The sequence below is a fragment of the Homo sapiens genome, chromosome 10 (genome assembly GCF_000001405.40).
Source record: "Homo sapiens chromosome 10, GRCh38.p14 Primary Assembly".
NCBI lineage: Eukaryota > Metazoa > Chordata > Mammalia > Primates > Hominidae > Homo > Homo sapiens.
The window spans coordinates 9,517,664-9,537,540 of record NC_000010.11 but is presented as its reverse complement, the minus strand read 5'-3'; the positions used below and the strand labels follow the sequence as shown (position 1 = coordinate 9,537,540).

General features: G+C 39.1%; 1 long non-coding RNA gene across 5 annotated transcripts in view, besides 1 other annotated feature; it reads left to right on the top strand.

The window, feature by feature from the left end:
• Positions 1 to 19,877, top strand: part of LINC02663 (long intergenic non-protein coding RNA 2663) — a 434,814-nt gene that overhangs the window by 340,554 nt on the left and 74,383 nt on the right. For all 5 annotated transcript variants that reach the window (XR_930643.2, XR_930644.2, XR_930645.3 and 2 more), the window contains one exon: positions 4,342 to 4,482. This is a non-coding gene — a long non-coding RNA (long intergenic non-protein coding RNA 2663). The remainder of the gene's footprint in view (positions 1 to 4,341; positions 4,483 to 19,877) is intronic.
• Positions 1,552 to 1,621: an enhancer, noted in NCBI's record as "active region_2989". NCBI's record gives its function as "activates an Ori minimal core promoter by ATAC-STARR-seq in GM12878 lymphoblastoid cells {active_cell/tissue: GM12878}" and the evidence as "EXISTENCE:reporter gene assay evidence [ECO:0000049][PMID:35858748]".

Below are 19,877 nucleotides of genomic sequence, written 5' to 3'. Positions count from 1 at the left end.
CATTATTACTGAAGTTAATTTTTAAAATTTATTCTACATGAGACCTTTAAATCCCACTAGCAACCTCCTGTTTATAAGAAAAAAAAGATTATGAAGTAATTTTTAATTTTTAACAATTGAAGTATAATTCACATAACATTAAGTCGACTCTTTTAAGAAACTCCTAAATCTCATTAGAAAAAAAAAAAAAGAATACAAAACTAATTCGATTACAAAACAGCAAAGGACCTGAATGGACATTTCTCCAAGGAAGATACACAAATGACCAACAGGCATATGGAAAAGTGCTAACATCACTGATAATGATGGAAATGTAAATTAAAACAAGAATGAAAAATGAGGTATTACCTCACAGCTGTTAGGATGACTGTCATCAAAAAAGAAAAAGAAAACTGAAAGATAACAAGCATTAGCAAGAAATTGGAACTCTTGTTGTATGCTGTGGGTAAGAATGTAAAATGTTTCAGCCATTATGGGAAACAGTCTGAAAGTTCCTCAAAATTAAAAACAGGACTACCATATGATCCGGGAATCCCACCTCTGGGCATATATTCAAAGAATTAACATTAGGATCTTCAAGAGATGTCTGTACTTCTGTGCTCATTGCAGCATTGTTCACAATAGCCAAAATATGGAAACAACCCAAATATCATTAACAGATGAATAAACAAAATATGATGTATACAGACATGTAATGGAATAGTATTCATGCTTTGAAAAGAAGAAAACACTGCCATTTGTTACAACATGGATCAACCTGGAGGACATTATCCTAAGTAAATAAATCCATCACAGAAGGACTGTATTGCATGCTTTGATTATATGAAGTATTTAAAATTGTCAAATTCATAGAAGCAGAGAAAAGAATGGTGGTTTACAGGGGCTGGGAAGACGGGTATCAAGGGATCTGTTTCTCCACAGGTTTACAATTTCAATTATGCTGTTTTGATGTGTATTTCCTAATAACTCATAATTTTAATCATCTTTTCTTTTGTGTATTAGCTACTTGTATATCATCTTTGGAGAAATGTCTACTCAAGTCCTTTGGTCATTTTTAAATTTTTATTTGTAAATTATATCCTTGAGTTGTAGAAGTTCTCAATATGTTCTGGAATCTAGTCTCTTATCTAATAAAGGATTTGTACATTTGTTCCATTCTGTGTGGCCTTTTACTTTACTGATTGTGTCTTTTGAAGGATAAAAAGTTTAAACTTTGATGAAGTCATGCCTGAATATTTTTCTTTCATTGTTTTTTGTGCTTTTGATGTTCATTGCTAAAAAATCATTGCCTGGTTCAAGGTCATGAAAATTTACATTTAGATCTTTGACCAATTTTGAGTTGTTTTAGATATGATGTGAGGTAATGACAGGATTTTTTTTTTTTTTTTTTTTTTTTTGAGACAGTATCTCACTCTCTCACTCAGGCTGGAGTGCAGTGGTGCATTCATAGCTCACCAACGCCTCTACCTCCAGGGCTCAAGCAATCCTCCCAATTACGTGAACATGATTGAAAGTAGGGTAGGTTGGAGGAAGGATCCAGACAAGAAGAATAGCATATGCAAAGGCCCAAAGGGAGACATGCAGCTGTTTGAACAATACTGAAAATAGGTCACTTTCGCTTTCATGGGCAGGGTTACAAGTGGTGGGGCGTAAAAACAGGTAGTTGAAAATAGAAGTGTCAGCAGAGGGGCATGGACAGTAGATGATACAGATCTCAAGAGTACTAATAAGCAGTTAAAGACTTTCTCTTGAGTAGAGTGAGCAGCTATTAGCATATTTTTACTAGGAAAATGACATGACCTGATTTGCATAACAAGGATCACACCAACATCAGTGGATTGGTAGGGTTTAAGAATGAAGTCAGCAAACAGGTTAACAGGCTGCTACAAAGATTTGTACTTTCCAATGCTTGATTTTCCTACAAAGTATGCATTTCGTCCTAGGCCCGCACCATGTTTCTGTGCAAAAACGAGTGTCCTAAAAATGACTCCCCATTCATGCTACTACTGTATGACCACCTACTAACCTGCTAAATTATAGTCTGTCATCTTTCAGATAAAGTAGATTCACACTTACATTTGGAGAGTAAGAAATGTGTTATCCATATTGTTTAATATCTTGGATAATTTTTTTAAAATGTGCTGTTTCTCATGGAGCTTTATAAAAACCAGTACTGGACACTAATCAGACATACATGCCACAGTAATAAAAATGAAGCAAAAAGTGTTTCTGCACTTTTATAGTGAGCGAGTTTCTTACCTGATAATGCATTTCTTTTTAAGTGATGAATGTAAGGAACTGGCAGTTTTAAATTAGGGGTTATGCAAAGGGTAGCCAAGAGGAAGAGAAATCAAATACCTTTTGTTTAAAAGTAGAATTAAAATGAGGCCAACAACCTGAGGGAGGTGATGTGAGACTGATTATAGGAATATCACGACGGTGTTTGTGTTAGTTAAAATATAGAAGCAATTTTTCCAAAAGTATTTTTATAAGACTCCAGCATGCCTTAAAAAGATTAAAAGTTCGTTAAATCTATAGTAGTTATAACTGTAACTAAACCACAAGGCAAAGAAAAAAAATTAAGTTATAATTTAAACTAAACTGAGCTGGATGAAGTGGCTCATGCCTGTAATCCCAGCACTTTGGAAGGTTGAGGCAGCTGGATCCCTTGAGCTCAGGATTTTGAGAATAGCCTGGCCAACATAGTGAAACCCTGTATCTACTAAAAATAGAAAAATTAGCTGGGCATGCTGGTGTGTGCCTATAATCCCAGCTACCTGGGAGGCTGAGGCATGAGAATCTCTTGAATCTGGGAGGCGCAGATTGCATTGAGCCGAGATGGCACCACTGCTGAGGCAGACAGATCACTTGAGCTCAGGAGATCGAGACCAGCCTGGCCAACACTCCAGCCTGGATGACAGAGCAAGACTCTGTCTCAAAAAAAAAAAAAAAAGAAAAAAAAAAGAAAACAAAGAAAGAAAACAAAGTAACTAAACTGGAAAGCAAAGGCAAAGAGCAATGGTCTGTTCCACAATCAGCTTGTGCAAAGGTATACACATGCAGGATAAATTCCACAGCCATTCTGAGGTATACCTTCTTAACCACAGATAACCAGTAAAAGGGCCAATATATGTTATGATTCTGGATTCAAGCAAAAGTTAAAAACCATCTTCATTCCAATTAGAAATGCAGTGATTACTTAAATCTCTACTATCTAATTTCCATCTTTAAGGACGCCTGACAGTGACACCTGATTAAATAGCCAAGAAAACAAGTGCTGGCGTTCACTGAGGGGCTCAGACACTGGGGTGATGGTCTCAGAGTAATCTTCATTGTAGTTCCAGGGCAAATTTACTTTCTCTGAAATTTTGAGCAAGACACTAAAACTGTCACCTCTGGTAATGTGGAAAATACTGAATGTACTGAATAGACTTGGAGTCTAGCTAAGGGGACTTCCAGGCAGAATACTGAAAATGCTATCTAGCTTCTGCTCACTGTCAATGACCAGTGCCAATGGAGAGCATCGAAGAAAAGAACACATTTTGTAGTTTTCTAATAGAATTTGCAGGACATTGTAAAGCGTCCGTGGCAGTCTTTCCAGTTAGCGAACTGAACTTAAAGCTTGGAAACAGTCTGGGGCAAAGATTAAAATTAATCCATGGCTATGACTATACAAGCCTTTATTCAGATTTTACAAAGATCCAAGGCCGTTGCATGAAGATACTTTCAGGAAGCCAGGGGCCTTGTAAATGTATGATGGCTGTGCCTGGGCAGGCCCTCACCGGTAAACAATAGGGATTCTAAAAATCTGAAGGATATTGTCCTTAAAACGCATCAGAAATAGTGAAGGTAGAGAAGGACATACCCAAAACAAATGTGTGGGTGTGGCTTCTTCTAATGGAGTAGATAATTGTTTCATAAGAAGCCTATAAAGTTTTAGAAATTTTACCAGGTTAGATTAAAAGAGACAGAGAATAGCCCAACTGAAATGAATATTGAGACCTCTAAATTTTTATGAGCAGGAGACAGGCTGAAAAAACTGCATCTGTGAACATGGGTTATTTCTTACGAGAAAGCATGTCTCAGAAGGTGAAACAAAGGATTAGAATACAGACCCTGCAGTCACAGGGTTCTAACCTCGGTGCAATATGGGGCCCTAAACGGAGGTAATTGATGAGTGTCCTGCTGGGTTTAATATTGCTACAGGCCAGGGACTGCCATGTATGGCCTGTTTCCTCGCTTTGAATTGAATTAGGTATTGCTGTTGTACAAAAGCCTGCCTAGCCCTCCATTTTGTGTTGAGTATATGGAAAGCAAATAACTTGTTTTTTTGGTTAATAGGCCTTTAAACCAAGAGAAGACATACCTGAGCAATTGAACCAGAAGGGATGAGCCCCACCTGGATCTGATGCAGATTAAAATATCTTGGACCTTGGGCCTGAGCTTGGAATGGAATGAGACCTTTGAGGATCTTAGTGGGGAGTAAGTATGTTTTGCAAAAGGGAGAAATGGAAATAATTTGTGCTGAGAAGTTGGACTATGGCAGCTTGAGGTCAGTGAAGACATCACTACACAAGCTTTGGTACTCCTGCCATTAAGACATAAAGACAGTTTTCTTTCCCTTTAAATCAAAACAGGCTTGGAATGTTTTAACCAATAGAGTATGCCAGAAGTGACCCATAGAATGTGACGGAAGTGACCTCATGTGACTTTTGAGCCTAGATCATAAAAAACCATGAAGCTTATGCCATGTTCCATGGGTTGTACCAATAAGAGCCCTGATCTACTAGATAAGCCTCCTGGGGATGCCATGTACTTTTTTCTTATACGTTACAATTGTCTTAAGGAAAGGGTGATGCCAATTATAACATGACACAGCGATTTTTGAAAATGTTTTGCACATTACTGTGATATTTTGAATTAAATTTTAGATTCACTTTCAATTCCTTGGTTTTTTTTGGTTTTTGTTTGTTTGTTTGTTTGTTTGTTTTTTAGAATCTCAGAGTTCTTCAAAGAGAAAAAAAAAGAAAATCATATTTGGGCTTAGACTGTAGTTAGTATCTTAGCTCTGGCTGATATAACAAAGTACTGTAAACTGGGTAGCTTCTAAACAACGGAAACTTATTTCTCACAGCTCTAGAGGCTGCAAGTCTGAGATCAGGCTGCCCACATGGTCAGGCTGTGATGAAGGCCTTCTTCTGGGTTGCAGATGGCTGTCTTCTTGTATCCTCACATGATAGAAAGAGGGTGTAAGACCTCTTGGAGTTCTTTCCATATGGGCACTAATCCCATTCATGGGAATTCTACCCGCCTGGTTTAATGACCTCTTAGAGGCTCCACCTCTTAATACCATCACCTTGGGTATTAGAATTTCAACATATCAATTTGGGAAAACACAAATGTTCAATCCACTGCAGTTAGCTTAGAGATTTGCAAGGAAACCTCATTAGAAGGCTTGATCATATAGGTAATAACCTTCCACAGTATGTGTTTTAATGGAAAGAATAATGTGAGAGTCAGCCAGGATTCCTGTGTTCCTTCCTTACTCTGCCACTTAATTAACATGTAAAGTTCTCAGTTTTTCTCATCTTCAAAATAAACATATTTCATAACTGATATGGTTTAGCCTTAAGTCCCCACCCAAATCTTATCTTGAATTGTAATCCCCAGGTGTTAAGGGAGGAACCTGGTGGGAAGTGATTGGATTATAGGGGCAGTTTCCCCCATGCTGTTCTCATGATAGTGAGTGAGTTCTCATGAGATCCGATGGTTTTATATAATAAACGGTAGTTTTTCCTGTGCTCTCTCACACTCTCTCTCACCTGCTGCCATTAAGACGTGCCTTTGCTTCTCTCTCACCCTCCACCATGATTGTAAGTTTCCTGAGGTCTCCCCCGCCATATGGAACTGTGAGTCAACTAAATCTCTTTCCTTTATAAATTACCAAGTCTCCAGTATGTCTTTATAGCAGTGTGAGAACAGACTAATACAATAACATAGCAACTGTTGTAAAAATTGACTAGTATAAAATTGTATGACTTTGCAAACTGCGTCTCTATATAGAAATGGTAATTGCGAGCATCAGTCATGCCAGCTGATTTTCATTTTGGTAAGCTGAGCTTCTCCACCTTGCCTCACTTCCCTGACTGTGCCTTCTGCTACTTCATCCAAATCACCTGAAGGGCTCTTGTAAACACAGATTGCTGGGTCCCATCACCAGTGTTTCAAATTCAGCAGGTCTGTGGTGGGGCCCTAGAATTTGCATTTCTACCAAGTTTCCAGATGACGTTGATGTCGCTGGTAAGACAACTGTTTGAAAACCACAGATTCAGCAGGTGAAATGAGCCAGGGTTGTTTTGTTGTTGTTGTTGTTTGTTTTTTGTTTTTTGTTTGTTTTTTTAAAATAAGCAATATGCGTAGTGGGAGTGACCTCTGGTCATGTTTGCATGGGTCTTACCCAAAAGGCAGATGACATTGTTTACCTTTAAAATGTATTTCTTTCATGTTTTTTGTTATTTACTTTGCTCTTGCTAAAACATCATTTTTGAACAAGTAAAATCATTCTTTTTATCCGAAAAAAGATACTTGTATCATTCAAAATCAAGAATGTAAGCTCCACGTAGCCAGCGATTTTACCTGGCCTTATTTATTCTTTTCTTTTTACCTAGCATCTAGAAAGTAAGTAACTGGTATAAAATAACCGTTAAATAAATATTTGGAGAAAGAATCAATAAAGCATTATACTTATAAGGTAAAAATAGAGAAAGTATATAATAGTAATGAAAAGACCATTATTAAACTTATTAATTTATGAACTAGTATTTTTTTCAATTTAACAAACTTATTATCCTGTTTTATGTTTTCTTCAATTTTATTTTATTTTGGATTCAGAGAGTACAGGTGGATGTTTCTTATGTGGGTATATTGTGTACTGGTTGGAATTGGGCTTCTAGTATACCTATTACCCAAATTGTGAACATTGCATCCCATATGTAATTTTTCAATCCTCACCCACTTCCTAACTCTCTTGGAGTCCCCAGTGTCTATTATTTCCATTTTTATGTCTCTTTGTATCCATTGTTTAGCTCCCACTTATAAGTGAGAACATTGCTTATTTAATTCTCTGTTTCAGAGTTAGTTCACTTAGAATAATGGCCTCCAGCTTCATTCATGATGCTGCAAAGGACATGACTTCATTCTTTTTCATGGCTGAATAGTATTATTTGGTTTATATAGACCACAGTTTCTTTATCCAGTCAACTATTGATGGACACTTAGGTTGGTTCCATGACTTTGCTATTGTGAACAGTAATGCAATGAACATATGAGAACAGGCATCTTTTTTATATAGTGATTTATTTTCCTTTGGGTAAATACCCAGTCGTGGAATTGCTGAGTCAAATGGCAATTCTATTTTTTATCCTTTGAGAGATCTCCATAGTGTCTTCCATAGAGGTTGAACTAATTTAAATTCCCAACAACAATGTGTAAGCCTTCCCTTTTCTCCGCATCCCCACCAACATCTGTTGTCTTTTGACTTTTTAATAACAGTCATTCTAACTGATGTGAGATAGTATCTCATTGTGCTTTTAATTTGCATTTGTCTGATTATTACTGATACTGTGCATTTTTCATGTGTTTTTTGGCCACTTATATTTCTTCTTTTGATAAATATCCATTCATGTCCTTTGCCCAGTTTTTAGTGGGGTTATTTTCTTTTACTTTTTGAGTTGTTTTATCCCTTAAAGGGGTATTTAATTAAAAATTAGTAACGATAATAAAGTGTAACTAACATTTTAAATGCTTAGAATGTATCAGATAATATTTTAAGAATTTTAAATTTATTAACTTTAAACAAACAAACTGCCCCATAAAAGAGGAATGCAAAATAATTTCCTATTAGAGATGGTTAGAGCTGAGGCACAGTGGTTAAATAACATGCAAATAGTGCAGATTTACACAATCAGTTTCTCATTTTGAAACTTATTTGAAGAAAAGTGTAAGAAACATATAGTAAGTTAGAAATATAGAAAATTCTGGAACTATGAAATGTAAATTAGAACATAAAGTCAAAATTTCAAATTTTGTTGGGAACAAAGCAGAGAGATGGGTGCAGATGGAACATAATAATGAAGGATATTTGACTTTCCTTCCCAGTAAGAAAAACAAAAGCTATTCAAGTTCACAGGTTAATACATTCTCTTCCAACCGAATGACCTGTAGTTTGCTCTACCTGTTTAGGTACCAAGATGAACTGGCAGAGAAAGTGTATCTTAACTGAATCTCTAATAATGCAATGAAGAGAACTTGTAGAATTAAATTAGAATAAAGAGAGAATTACTTTGTGAACAGCCACCCACAATAAATATAATAAAAGCAAATATCAAATGCCCAAATATGATGCGAATGTCAAAGAGGTTGGGTAATAAGAACAGATTCGGGAGAAGACCTGGGCACCTTTATGGGACAGGTGCTGGCCCTAACCCTAGACTTCTCAGGAGTGGTGAGGTGAGTGGAGAGAGGTATGCAGAGAGTAATAGCTATGGCTTGAATGCTTGTGCGTCCTCCAAAATTCATGTTGAAATTTAATCCCCAGCGCAACAGTTTTATGAGGTGGGGCCTTTAGGAGGTGAGTAGAGGTGGGATTAGTGCCCTTTTGAAAGGACTTGCAGGAGTGAGTTCAGCCCCTTTTGCTGTCTGTCCCTTCCAACTTAGGAAGACACCATTTGCCCTCTGTCCTTTCCAACTTAGGAGGACACCTTCCAAGGTGGCTTTCTAGGTGCCACCTTGGAAGCAGAGAGCAGCCCCCCCGCAAGACACTAAGCCTGCTGGCATCCTCATTTTGGATTTCCAGTTTATCGAACTGTGAAGAAATACATTTATGTTCTTTATTCATTGCCCAGTTTCGGGCATTTTGTTATAGGAACCCAAATGGACTAAGACAGTAATATTTATATAAAAATAGGTGTGTCCATTTATTATTTTTATCCTTTGGAGTTTATCAGTATCTATTTATGCTACGTTTTCAGGGGAGTAAACAAAAAGTACTCTCCAAAAAATGATTTAAACAGGTACTAAGGGCAGGAGCCATAATTAACCGTCTTTATTTTCCGCCATATGTCTAGCACTGTGTATAAAGTTGGCATTCAAAAATTATGTGCTGAATGGCTGAATAAGTGAAACTTAATACTTTAAAAAGGCCTCATCAAAATAAGCAGACATTCATAAACAGCTATAATATAAGATGTATCAAAAATGTCAGAACCTCAAAAATAGAAAGAAATCATTTACACCTGGTAATAAACATAATCTTTATGACAGAGGGGAAATTTTAGCTGTGTCTTTTCCAGATCCATAAATCATTAATTTCTAAAGGTGTTTGTGCTTTGACGTATCATTTTTTTCTTACTCAAATTGACTCTATTCCATACAGATAAAATATTTTTTCAAAGATACATAACTTTTCCTCACTGTCATTTTTTGCACCAAACATATGAAATTATTTCTATCTGTACCATACAGAATAGGCAGTGGGGACTCTATTATGTAACACTGATCAGTCTGTGCCATTTAAACTTCATGTTTGAACTCTCAACAGTATATTACATATGAAAAGTAAAATAACTCTATAGACTGGGCGCGGTGGCTCACGCCTGTAATCCCAGCACTTTGGGAGGGCAAGACAGGTGGATCACAAGGTCAGGAGATCAAGACCATCCTGGCTAACATGGTGAAACCCCATCTCTATTAAAAAATACAAAAAATTAGCTGTACACACCTGTAATCCTAGCTACTCAGGAGGCTGAGGCAGGAGAATTGCTTGAACCTGGGAGGTGAAGGTTGCAGTGAGCAGAGATTGCACCACTGCACTCCAGCCTGGGTGACAGAGTGCGATTCCATCTCAAAAAATAAATAAATAAATAAATAATAAATAACTCTTTAAACTCCAACTCAACGCAAAAATAAACATTCTACATTATTGAACCAGAATCATTCAGAATGGTCTAGATCTCCTCTTACACTCAAGCTAGGAAATTAATGATGCTTTCAAAGATATTTTTTCAAAGTTTCAAATTTACATAATTTGATGACACAAGTATATGGGTAAACATTTCCTAACTGCAGCAAAAACATTTTTGCTAAATCTATGGGTATCAGGAAAAAGTAAATCAACTAGCAGAAGAGCTTGGCTAACTATCTGCAAACACCTGGATTTCAGAAAGGTATCATTCACACTGGAATGACTGACTTGACAGTTTTCCTAATACTGACCAGCCTTACTTGTAGACTCTGAATCCAGGTTCATACAGGAGCACTTGATCAGGTAGCTGGCATGGGGCACATGTATGTAAATAAACAGCATGAATGAAAATAAACCACAATTCATTTATATTTAACACACACACAGCAAGAGTGGAAAACAACCTTCTGTCCAAGTGCTTCGAAAAGATTCAACAGCCATTGATACATTTCATGCTGTTGCTTGACAGATCAAGGCATTGCAAATATTTGATGTTTCTAAATAATTATTTTTATGGCTGCTAATGGAAAACAAGGTTCAAAACACATAGCAGAGCACTGCTCAGAGGCTTAGCCTTAATAGAAAGTCCAGAGCAAGAGCATTAATTTGAACAGAACAAGTATTCTTGTCTTCTACTTTATTTGAGAGTTCAAGAGATGATATTTTACAATTACTGTTGCCTTGGATGCTGCCTTTACTGTGTAGATTTCTGCTACCAGCTAGGCGTCATGGGTCATAGGGTAAGTGTATTTTTAAGTCAACAGAAATGCTGACACTCTCAGAATGGGGGCTGAGTATTTACTATGAACTGTAGTTCTTTATTGGGTCAGGTGCTTTTGCAGTAAAAGTGGCTTTACAAATATCCTGGTCTCATCAAAGGCAACCTGGTAAATGTTCCTTTCTCAGCAGTAGTGCAATAGCATCCTCACTTATAAACCTGTTCTTTAGCGCAATTTCAAAACCTTCTGTTTTCTGTCCATTTATAGATGGTACCAAGCTTCACATCAGGCTTTTTCCCCTTTGGGCTTCAGATGGCCCTCATGCAGCTTTAACAAGACCTTGGAAGAACCTAGCTCAAAGAGAGTGCAGTGTGCATCCACATCTGCTTGATGAGTAGATGAGAGCCAATGCTAATGGTGTTTTTCAGACATTCAAAGGAGTTTCAACAACAGACATTGTTTCATGCTGAGTCTTTAGGGCAAAATGCAAGCATTTGGAGAAACTTCGTACAAAAAAATATTCGAAATTTTAACCGCAAGTGTATTACATCTTTAACCATAAAACAAAACCATAAAATGTCCATGAAAGGATCCAAGACACCCTTGAAAAATGCCCTTCAAAAATTAATCTCTTATTTTTTTCTGCAAGCCATTAGCTAATAAGAGGAAATGGATGCTTTGGATGATTTTTTATTTTATTTTATTTTATCTTTTTTTGATTGTCAAATACCTTCTTTTAATAAAAGGGCTTTTTTCTTTTTTGTAATTTTATTTTATTATTATTATACCTTAAGTTTTAGGGTACATGTGCACAATGTGCAGGTTTGTTACCTATGTATACATGTGCCATGCTGGTGTGCTGCACCCATTAACTCGTCATTAAGCATTAGGTATATCTCCTAAAGCTATCCCTCCCCACTCCCCCAACCCGACAACAGTCCCCAGAGTGTGATGTTCCCCTTCCTGTGTCCATGTGATCTCATTGTTCAATTCCCACCTATGAGTGAGAATATGCGGTGTTTGGTTTTTTGTTCTTGCGATAGTTTACTGAGAATGATGATTTCCAATTTCATCCATGTCCCTACAAAGGACATGAACTCATCATTTTTTATGGCTGCATAGTATTCCACGGTGTATATGTGCCACATTTTCTTAATCCAGTCTATCATTGTTGGACATTTGGGTTGGTTCCAAGTCTTTGCTATTGTGAATAGTGCCGCAATAAACATACGTGTGAATATGTCTTTGTAGCACCATGATTTATAGTCCTTTGGGTATATACCCAGTAATGGGATGGCTGGGTCAAATGGTATTTCTAGTTCCAGATCCCTGAGGAAAAGCCACACTGACTTCCACAATGGTTGAACTAGTTTACAGTCCCACCAACAGTGTAAAAGTGTTCCTATTTCTCCACATCCTCTCCAGCACCTGTTGTTTCCTGACTTTTTAATGATTGCCATTCTAACTGGTGTGAGATGGTATCTCATTGTGGTTTTGATTTGCATTTGTCTGATGGCCAGTGATGGTGAGCATTTTTTCATGTGTTTTTTGGCTGCATAAATGCCTTCTTTTGAGAAGTGTCTGTTCATGTCCTTCGCCCACTTTTTGATGGGGTTGTTTGTTTTTTTCTTGTAAATTTGTTTGAGTTCATTGTAGATTCTGGATATTAGCCCTTTGTCAGATGAGTAGGTTGCGAAAATTTTCTCCCATTTTGTAGGTTGCCTGTTCACTCTGATAGTAGTTTCTTTTGCTGTGCAGAAACTGTTTAGTTTAATTAGATCCCATTTGTCAATTTTGGCTTTTGTTGCCATTGCTTTTGGTGTTTTAGACATGAAGTCCTTGCCCATGCCTATGTCCTGAATGGTAATGCCTAGGTTTTCTTCTAGGGTTTTTATGATTTTAGGTCTAACGTTTAAGTCTTTAATACATCTTGAATTAATTTTTGTATAAGGTGTAAGGAAGGGATCCAGTTTCAGCTTTCTACATATGGCTAGCCAGTTTTCCCAGCACCATTTATTAAACAGGGAATCCTTTCCCCATTTCTTGTTTTTCTCAGGTTTGTCAAAGATCAGATAGTTGTAGATATGAGGTGTTATTTCTGAGGGCTCTGTTCTGTTTCATTGATCTATATCTCTGTTTTGGTACCAGTACCATGCTGTTTTGGTTACTGTAGCCTTGTAGTATAGTTTGAAGTCAGGTAGCGTGATGCCTCCAGCTTTGTTCTTTTGGCTTAGGATTGACTTGGCGATGCGGGCTCTTTTCTTGGCGCCATATGAACTTTAAAGTAGTTTTTTCCAATTCTGTGAAAAAAGTCATTGGTAGCTTGATGGGGATGGCATTGAATCTATAAATTACCTTGGGCAGTATGGCCATTTTCACAATATTGATTCCTCCTACCCATGAGCATGGAATGTTCTTCCATTTGTTTGTATCCTCTTTTATTTCATTGAGCAGTGGTTTGTAGTTCTCCTTGAAGAGGTCCTTCACGTCCCTTGTAAGTTGGATTCCTAGGTATTTTATTCTCTTTGAAGCAATTGTGAATGGGAGTTCACTCATGATTTGGCTCTCTATTTGTCTGTTATTGGTGTATAAGAATGCTTGTGATTTTTGTACATTGATTTTGTATCCTGAGACTTTGCTGAAGTTGCTTATCAGCTTAAGGAGATTTTGGGCTGAGACAATGGGGTTTTCTAGATATACAGTCATGTCACCTGCAAACAGGGACAATTTGACTTCCTCTTTTCCTAATTGAATGCCCTTTATTTCCTTCTCCTGCCTAATTTCCCTGGCCAGAACTTCCAACACTATGTTGAATAGGAGTGGTGAGAGAGGGCATCCCTGTCTTGTGCCAGTTTTCAAAGGGAATGCTTCCAGTTTTTGTCCATTCAGCATGATATTGGCTGTGGGTTTGTCATAGATAGCTCTTATTATTTTGAGATACGTCCCATCAATACCTAATTTATTGAGAGTTTTTAGCATGAAGGGTTGTTGAATTTTGTCAAAGGCCTTTTCTGCATCTATTGAGATAATCATGTGGTTTTTGTCTTTGGCTCTGTTTATATGCTGGATTACGTTTATTGATTTGCGTATATTGAACCAGCCTTGCATCCCAGGGATGAAGCCCACTTGATCATGGTGGATAAGCTTTTTGATGTGCTGCTGGATTCAGTTTGCCAGTATTTTATTGAGGATTTTTGCATCAATGTTCATCAGGGTTATTGGTCTAAAATTCTCTTTTTTGGTTGTGTCTCTACAAGGCTTTGGTATCAGGATGATGCTGGCCTCATAAAATGAGTTAGGGAAGATTCCCTCTTTTTCTGTTGATTGGAATAGTTTCAGAAGGAATGGTACCAGTTCCTCCTTGTACCTCTGGTAGAATTCAGCTGTGAATCCATCTGGTTCTGTACTCTTTTTGGTTGGTAGCTATTGATTATTGCCACAATTTCAGCTCCTGTTATTGGTCTATTCAGAGATTCAACTTCTTCCTGGTTTAGTCTTGGGAGAGTGTATGTGTCCAGGAATTTATCCATTTCTTCTAGATTTTCTAGTTTATTTGCGTAGAGGTGTTTGTAGTATTCTCTGATGGTAGTTTGTATTTCTGTGGGATCGGTGGTGATATCCCCTTTATCATTTTTTATTGCGTCTATTTGATTCTTCTCTCTTTTCTTCATTAGTCTTGCTAGCAGTCTATCAATTTTGTTGATCCTTTCAAAAAACCAGCTCCTGGATTCATTAATTTTTTGAAGGGTTTTTTGTATCTCTATTTCCTTCAGTTCTGCTCTGATTTTAGTTATTTCTTGCCTTCTGCTAGCTTTTGAATGTGTTTGCTATTGCTTTTCTAGTTCTTTTAATTGTGATGTTAGGGTGTCAATTTTGGATCTTTCCTGCTTTCTCTTGTGGGCATTTAGTGCTATAAATTTCCCTCTACACACTGCTTTGAATGTGTCCCAGAGATTCTGGTGTGTTGCGTCTTTGTTCTCATTGATTTCAAAGAACATCTTTATTTCTGCCTTCATTTCGTTATGTACCCAGTAGTCATTCAGGAGCAGGTTGTTCAGTTTCCATGTAATTGAGCGGTTTTGAGTGAGTTTCTTCATCCTGAGTTGTAGTTTGATTGCACTGTGTTCTGAGAGACAGTTTGTTGGAATTTCTGAGTTTTTACATTTGCTGAGGAGAGCTTTACTTCCAACTATGTGGTCAATTTTGGAATAGGTGTGGTGTGGTGCTGAAAAAAATGTATATTCTGTTGATTTGGAGTGGAGAGTTCTGTAGATGTCTATTAGGTCCGCTTGGTGCAGAGCTGAGTTCAATTCCTGGGTATTCTTGTTACCTTTCTGTCTCGTTGATCTGTCTAATGTTGACAGTGGGGTGTTAAAGTCTCCCATTATTATTGTGTGGGAGTCGAAGTCTCTCGGTAGGTCACTCAGGACTTGCTTTATGAATCTGGGTGCTCATGTATTGGGTGCATATATATTTAGGATAGTTAGCTCTTCTTGTTGAATTGATCCCTTTACCATTATGTAATGGCCTTCTTTGTCTCTTTTGATCTTTGTTGGTTTAAAGTCTGTTTTATCAGAGACTAGGATTGCAACTCCTGCCTTTTTTTGTTTTCCATTTGCTTGGTAGATCTTCCTCCATCCTTTTATTTTGAGCCTATTTGTGTCTCTGCACGTGAGATGGGTTTCCTGAATACAGCACACTGATGGGTCTTGACTCTTTATCCAATTTGCCAGTCTGTGTCTTTTAATTGGAGCATTTAGTCCATTTACATTTAAAATTAATATTGTTATGTGTGAATTTGATCCTGTCATTATGATGTTAGCTGGTTATTTTGCTCGTTAGTTGATGCAGTTTCTTCCAAGCCTCAATGGTCTTTACCATTTGTCATGATTTTGCAGTGGCTGGTACCGGTTGTTCCTTTCCATGTTTAGTGCTTCCTGCAGGAGCTCTTTTAGGGCAGGCCTGGTGGTGACAAAATCTCTCAGCATTTGCTTGTCTGTAAAGTATTTTATTTCTCCTTCACTTATGAAGCTTAGTTTGGCTGGATATGAAATTCTGGGTTGAAAATTCTTTTCTTTAAGAATGTTGAATATTGGACTCCACTCTCTTCTGGCTTGTAGAATTTCTGCCGAGAGATCAGCTGTTAGTCTGATGGGCTTCCCTTTGTGAGTAACCCGACCTTTCTCTCTGGCTGCCCTTAACATTTTTTCCTTCATTTCAACTTTGGTGAATCTGACAATTATGTGTGTTGGAGTTGCTCTTCTCGAGGAATATCTTTGTGGCGTTCTCTGTATTTCCTGAATCTGAATGTTGGCCTGCCTTGCTAGATTGGGGAAGTTCTCCTGGATAATATCCTGCAGAGTGTTTTCCAACTTGGTTCCATTCTCCCCGTCACTTTCAGGTACACCAATCAGACGTAGATTTGGTCTTTTCACATAGTCCCATATTTCTTGGAGACTTTGTTCCTTTCTTTTTATTCTTTTTTCTCTAAACTTCCCTTCTGGCTTCATTTCATTCATTTCATCTTCCATCACTGATACCCTTTCTTCCAGTTGATCACATCGGCTCCTGACGCTTCTGCATTCTTCACGTAGTTCTCGAGCCTTGGCTTTCAGCTCCATCAGCTCCTTTAAGCACTTCTCTGTATTGGTTATTCGAGTTGTACATTTGTCTAAATTTTTTTCAAAGTTTTCAACTTCTTTGCCTTTGGTTTGAATTTCCTCCTGTAGCTCGGAGTAGTTTGATCGTCTGAAACCTTCTTCTCTCAACTCGTCAAAGTCATTCTCTGTCCAGCTTTGTTTCGTTGCTGGTGAGGAGCTGCGTTCCTTTGGAGGAGGAGAAGTGCTCTGCTTTTTAGAGTTTCCAGTTTTTCTGCTGTGTTTTTTCCCCATCTTTGTGGTTTTATCTACTTTTGGTCTTTGATGATGGTGATGTACAGATGGGTTTTTGGTGTGGATGGCCTTTCTGTTTGTTAGTTTTCCTTCTAACAGACAGGACCGTCAGCTGCAGGTCTGTTGGAGTTTGCTAGAGGTCCACTCCAGAGCCTGTTTGCCTGGGTACCAGCAGCGGTGGCTGCAGAAGAGCAGATTTTCGTGAACCGCGAATGCTGCTGTCTGATCGTTCCTCTGGAAGTTTTGTCTCAGAGGAGTACCCGGCCGTGTGAGGTGTCAATTTGCCCCTACTGGGGGGTGCCTCCCAGTTAGGCTGCTCGGGGGTCAGGGGTCAGGGACCCACTTGAGGAGGCAGTCTGCCCGTTCTCAGATCTCCAGCTGTGTGCTGGGAGAACCACTGCTCTCTTCAAAGCTGTCAGACAGGGACATTTAAGTCTGCAGAGGTTACTGCTGTCTTTTTGTTTGTCTGTGCCCTCCTCCCAGAGGTGGAGCCTACAGAGGCAGGCAGGCCTCCTTGAGCTGTGGTGGGCTCCACCCAGTTCAAGCTTCCTGGCTGCTTTTTTTTACCTAAGCAAGTCTGGGCAATGGCAGGCACCCCTCCCCCAGCCTCGCTGCCGCCTTGCAGTTTGATCTCAGACTGCTGTGCTAGCAATCAGCGAGACTCCGTTGGCGTAGGACCCTGTGAGCCACGTGCGGGATATAATCTCCTGGTGCGCCATTTTTTAAGCCCATCGGAAAAGCGCAGTATTAGGGTGGGAGTGACCCGATTTTCCAGGTGCCGTCTGTCACCCCTTTCTTTGACTAGGAAAGGGAACTCCCTGACCCCTTGCGCTTCCTGAATGAGGCAATGCCTCGCCCTGCTTCGGCTTGTGCACGGTGTGCTGCACCCACTGTCCTGCGCCCACTGTCTGGCACTCCCTAGTGAGATGAACCTGGTACCTCAGGTGGAAATGTAGAAATCACCCATCTTCTGCGTCACTCATGCTGGTAGCTATAGACTGGAGCTGTTCCTATTCGGCCATCTTTACTCCAGCCTGGATGATTTAATGTGTTCCATCTATCTGTTTTGCCTGTGTTTTTAACCACCAAAGACTAAATTAACCACAAAAATATAAAAGGAAAGTTGCATTCACAACATGTTAATTAACATAATTAACTTAAAACATCAATTATGGCCGGGCGCGGTGGCTCACGCCTGTAATCCCAGCACTTTGGGAGGCCGAGGCGGGTGGATCATGAGGTCAGGAGATCGAGACCATCCTGGCTAACAAGGTGAAACCCCGTCTCTACTAAAAATACAAAAAATTAGCCCGGCGCGGTGGCGGGCGCCTGTAGTCCCAGCTACTCGGGAGGCTGAGGCAGGAGAATGGCGTGAACCCGGGAAGCGGAGCTTGCAGTGAGCCGAGATTGCGCCACTGCAGTCCGCAGTCCGGCCTGGGCGACAGAGCGAGACTCCGTCTCAAAAAAAAAAAAAAAAAACATCAATTATGTTTACATTTCATGAATGCTGGCAAAGAGGTAAGAGACATTTATGGTGATGGGAACCAAGGTTTCTTCCTTTTATGAGTAAGATGACTATTAAGAATATTTTATTTCTGACATAGTCATCAAAAGTTTGGAAAGAAAGGATGGCCTTAAGTGATATTGTCAAAGAAGAGATACATGTCATTCTGAGGCCCCCAATATATATAACCTGGTAGATAAACTGAAGGTTATCTACGAAGACAGACTTTCAGCAATGATAGAACTTGAGATGGGTTGGTGACCGATACCTATGAACAATCACCAAGGAAGAAAATTTAAACAGGCATTATAGATTGCAAAAATATGGAACCAACCTTAGTGCCCTTCAACCAATGAATGGTTAAAGAAAATGTGGAATATATATGCCATGGAATACTACTCAGCCAAAAAAAGGAATGAAATAATGTCTTTTGCAGCAACTTGGATGGAGCTGGAGGTATTATTCTAAGTGAAGTAACTCACGAATGGAAAAGCAAACATCATATGTTTTGACTTATAAGTGGAAGCTAAGCTATGAGGATGAAAAAGCGTAAGAATGATATAATGGACTTTGGAGATTCTGGGGGGAAGATGTGGAGGGGAATGAGGGATAAAAGACTACATATTGGGCATAATGTACACTGCTCGGGTGACCAGTGCACTAAAATCTCAGACATCCCCACTGAAGAACTTATCCCTGAAACCAAAAAGCACTTGTATTCCAAAAACTATTGAAATAAAAATTAAAATTAAAAACAAAGCAGAGGTGCTTTGTGCTGGAGCTTTTCTTATGTCCCAAATCATTTGGATTATTGAGCAGGAAAGGAGAAGCTAAATTTAAAAGTGGTGTATGTGTGTGTGCATGCACATGCACACATGTATGTATATAAAACGATGTTAGGGCCTTGAAAAACTATGAAAATATTTCAGTTATAAATTTCCAGATTAAATCTCTAGTGGAGTAGAGGGTAGATCAAGGCTGAGAAAATTTTCCAGAAGCTTGAGAGACAGAATAAATACCCCTGGGATTATCTAGTGTGGAGCCTCCTGCATAGCTGTGGGCAGAGCTGAAGATCATCTACTTAATTTGGGGAATGGTGGAGCTTACATTCTGACACACCCACTGGGTCAGGGCAGTCCATTGAAGGAACAGGTGCATCTATGTGTATGATGAAAATAATCTGTCCAGAATCTGGAACATGCTACCTGAATGTAAGTAAGAAAATGATCTTTTCATGAGATTTACAGAAGGTGTGCCTGTTATCAGTGTATTGCTCCTTGGCTCCTCATCCACCCTTGATTGTCTGCTGGCAATATCAGAAGCTTTCTCCCTTGACAGCTGGCAGGATGCCATGGAGGGTGTTGGAAGGATACTGAGGAGAAAGGGGCTTCTGGTTTACCCGTGCTTTTCTTTCTCCTTGCTCTGTGGTGCTGAGCTGGTGCACAGGATGCCTGTGGAGCTCTCTGCGTTTGGCATCAGTGGAACTGTTAGTGGCTTCAGTGGAACTGTTGTTAGTGACTTCAGTGGAACTGTTGTTAGTGGCTTCAGTGGAACTGTTAGTGGCTTCACACGTTCCACAGATGCCCCTATTGGTGGTTTCCCAGGGGATGCCCATGGTGCCTTCCCAGTAAGTTGTACAGATGACCCAGCCAATTTCCCAAGAATTGCAACAGTAATTCGCCCTTCCCAGTGGCCCCTGGTGAATGTTACTGGCTGTTCTCTGACCACCACCAGCCTTGGCC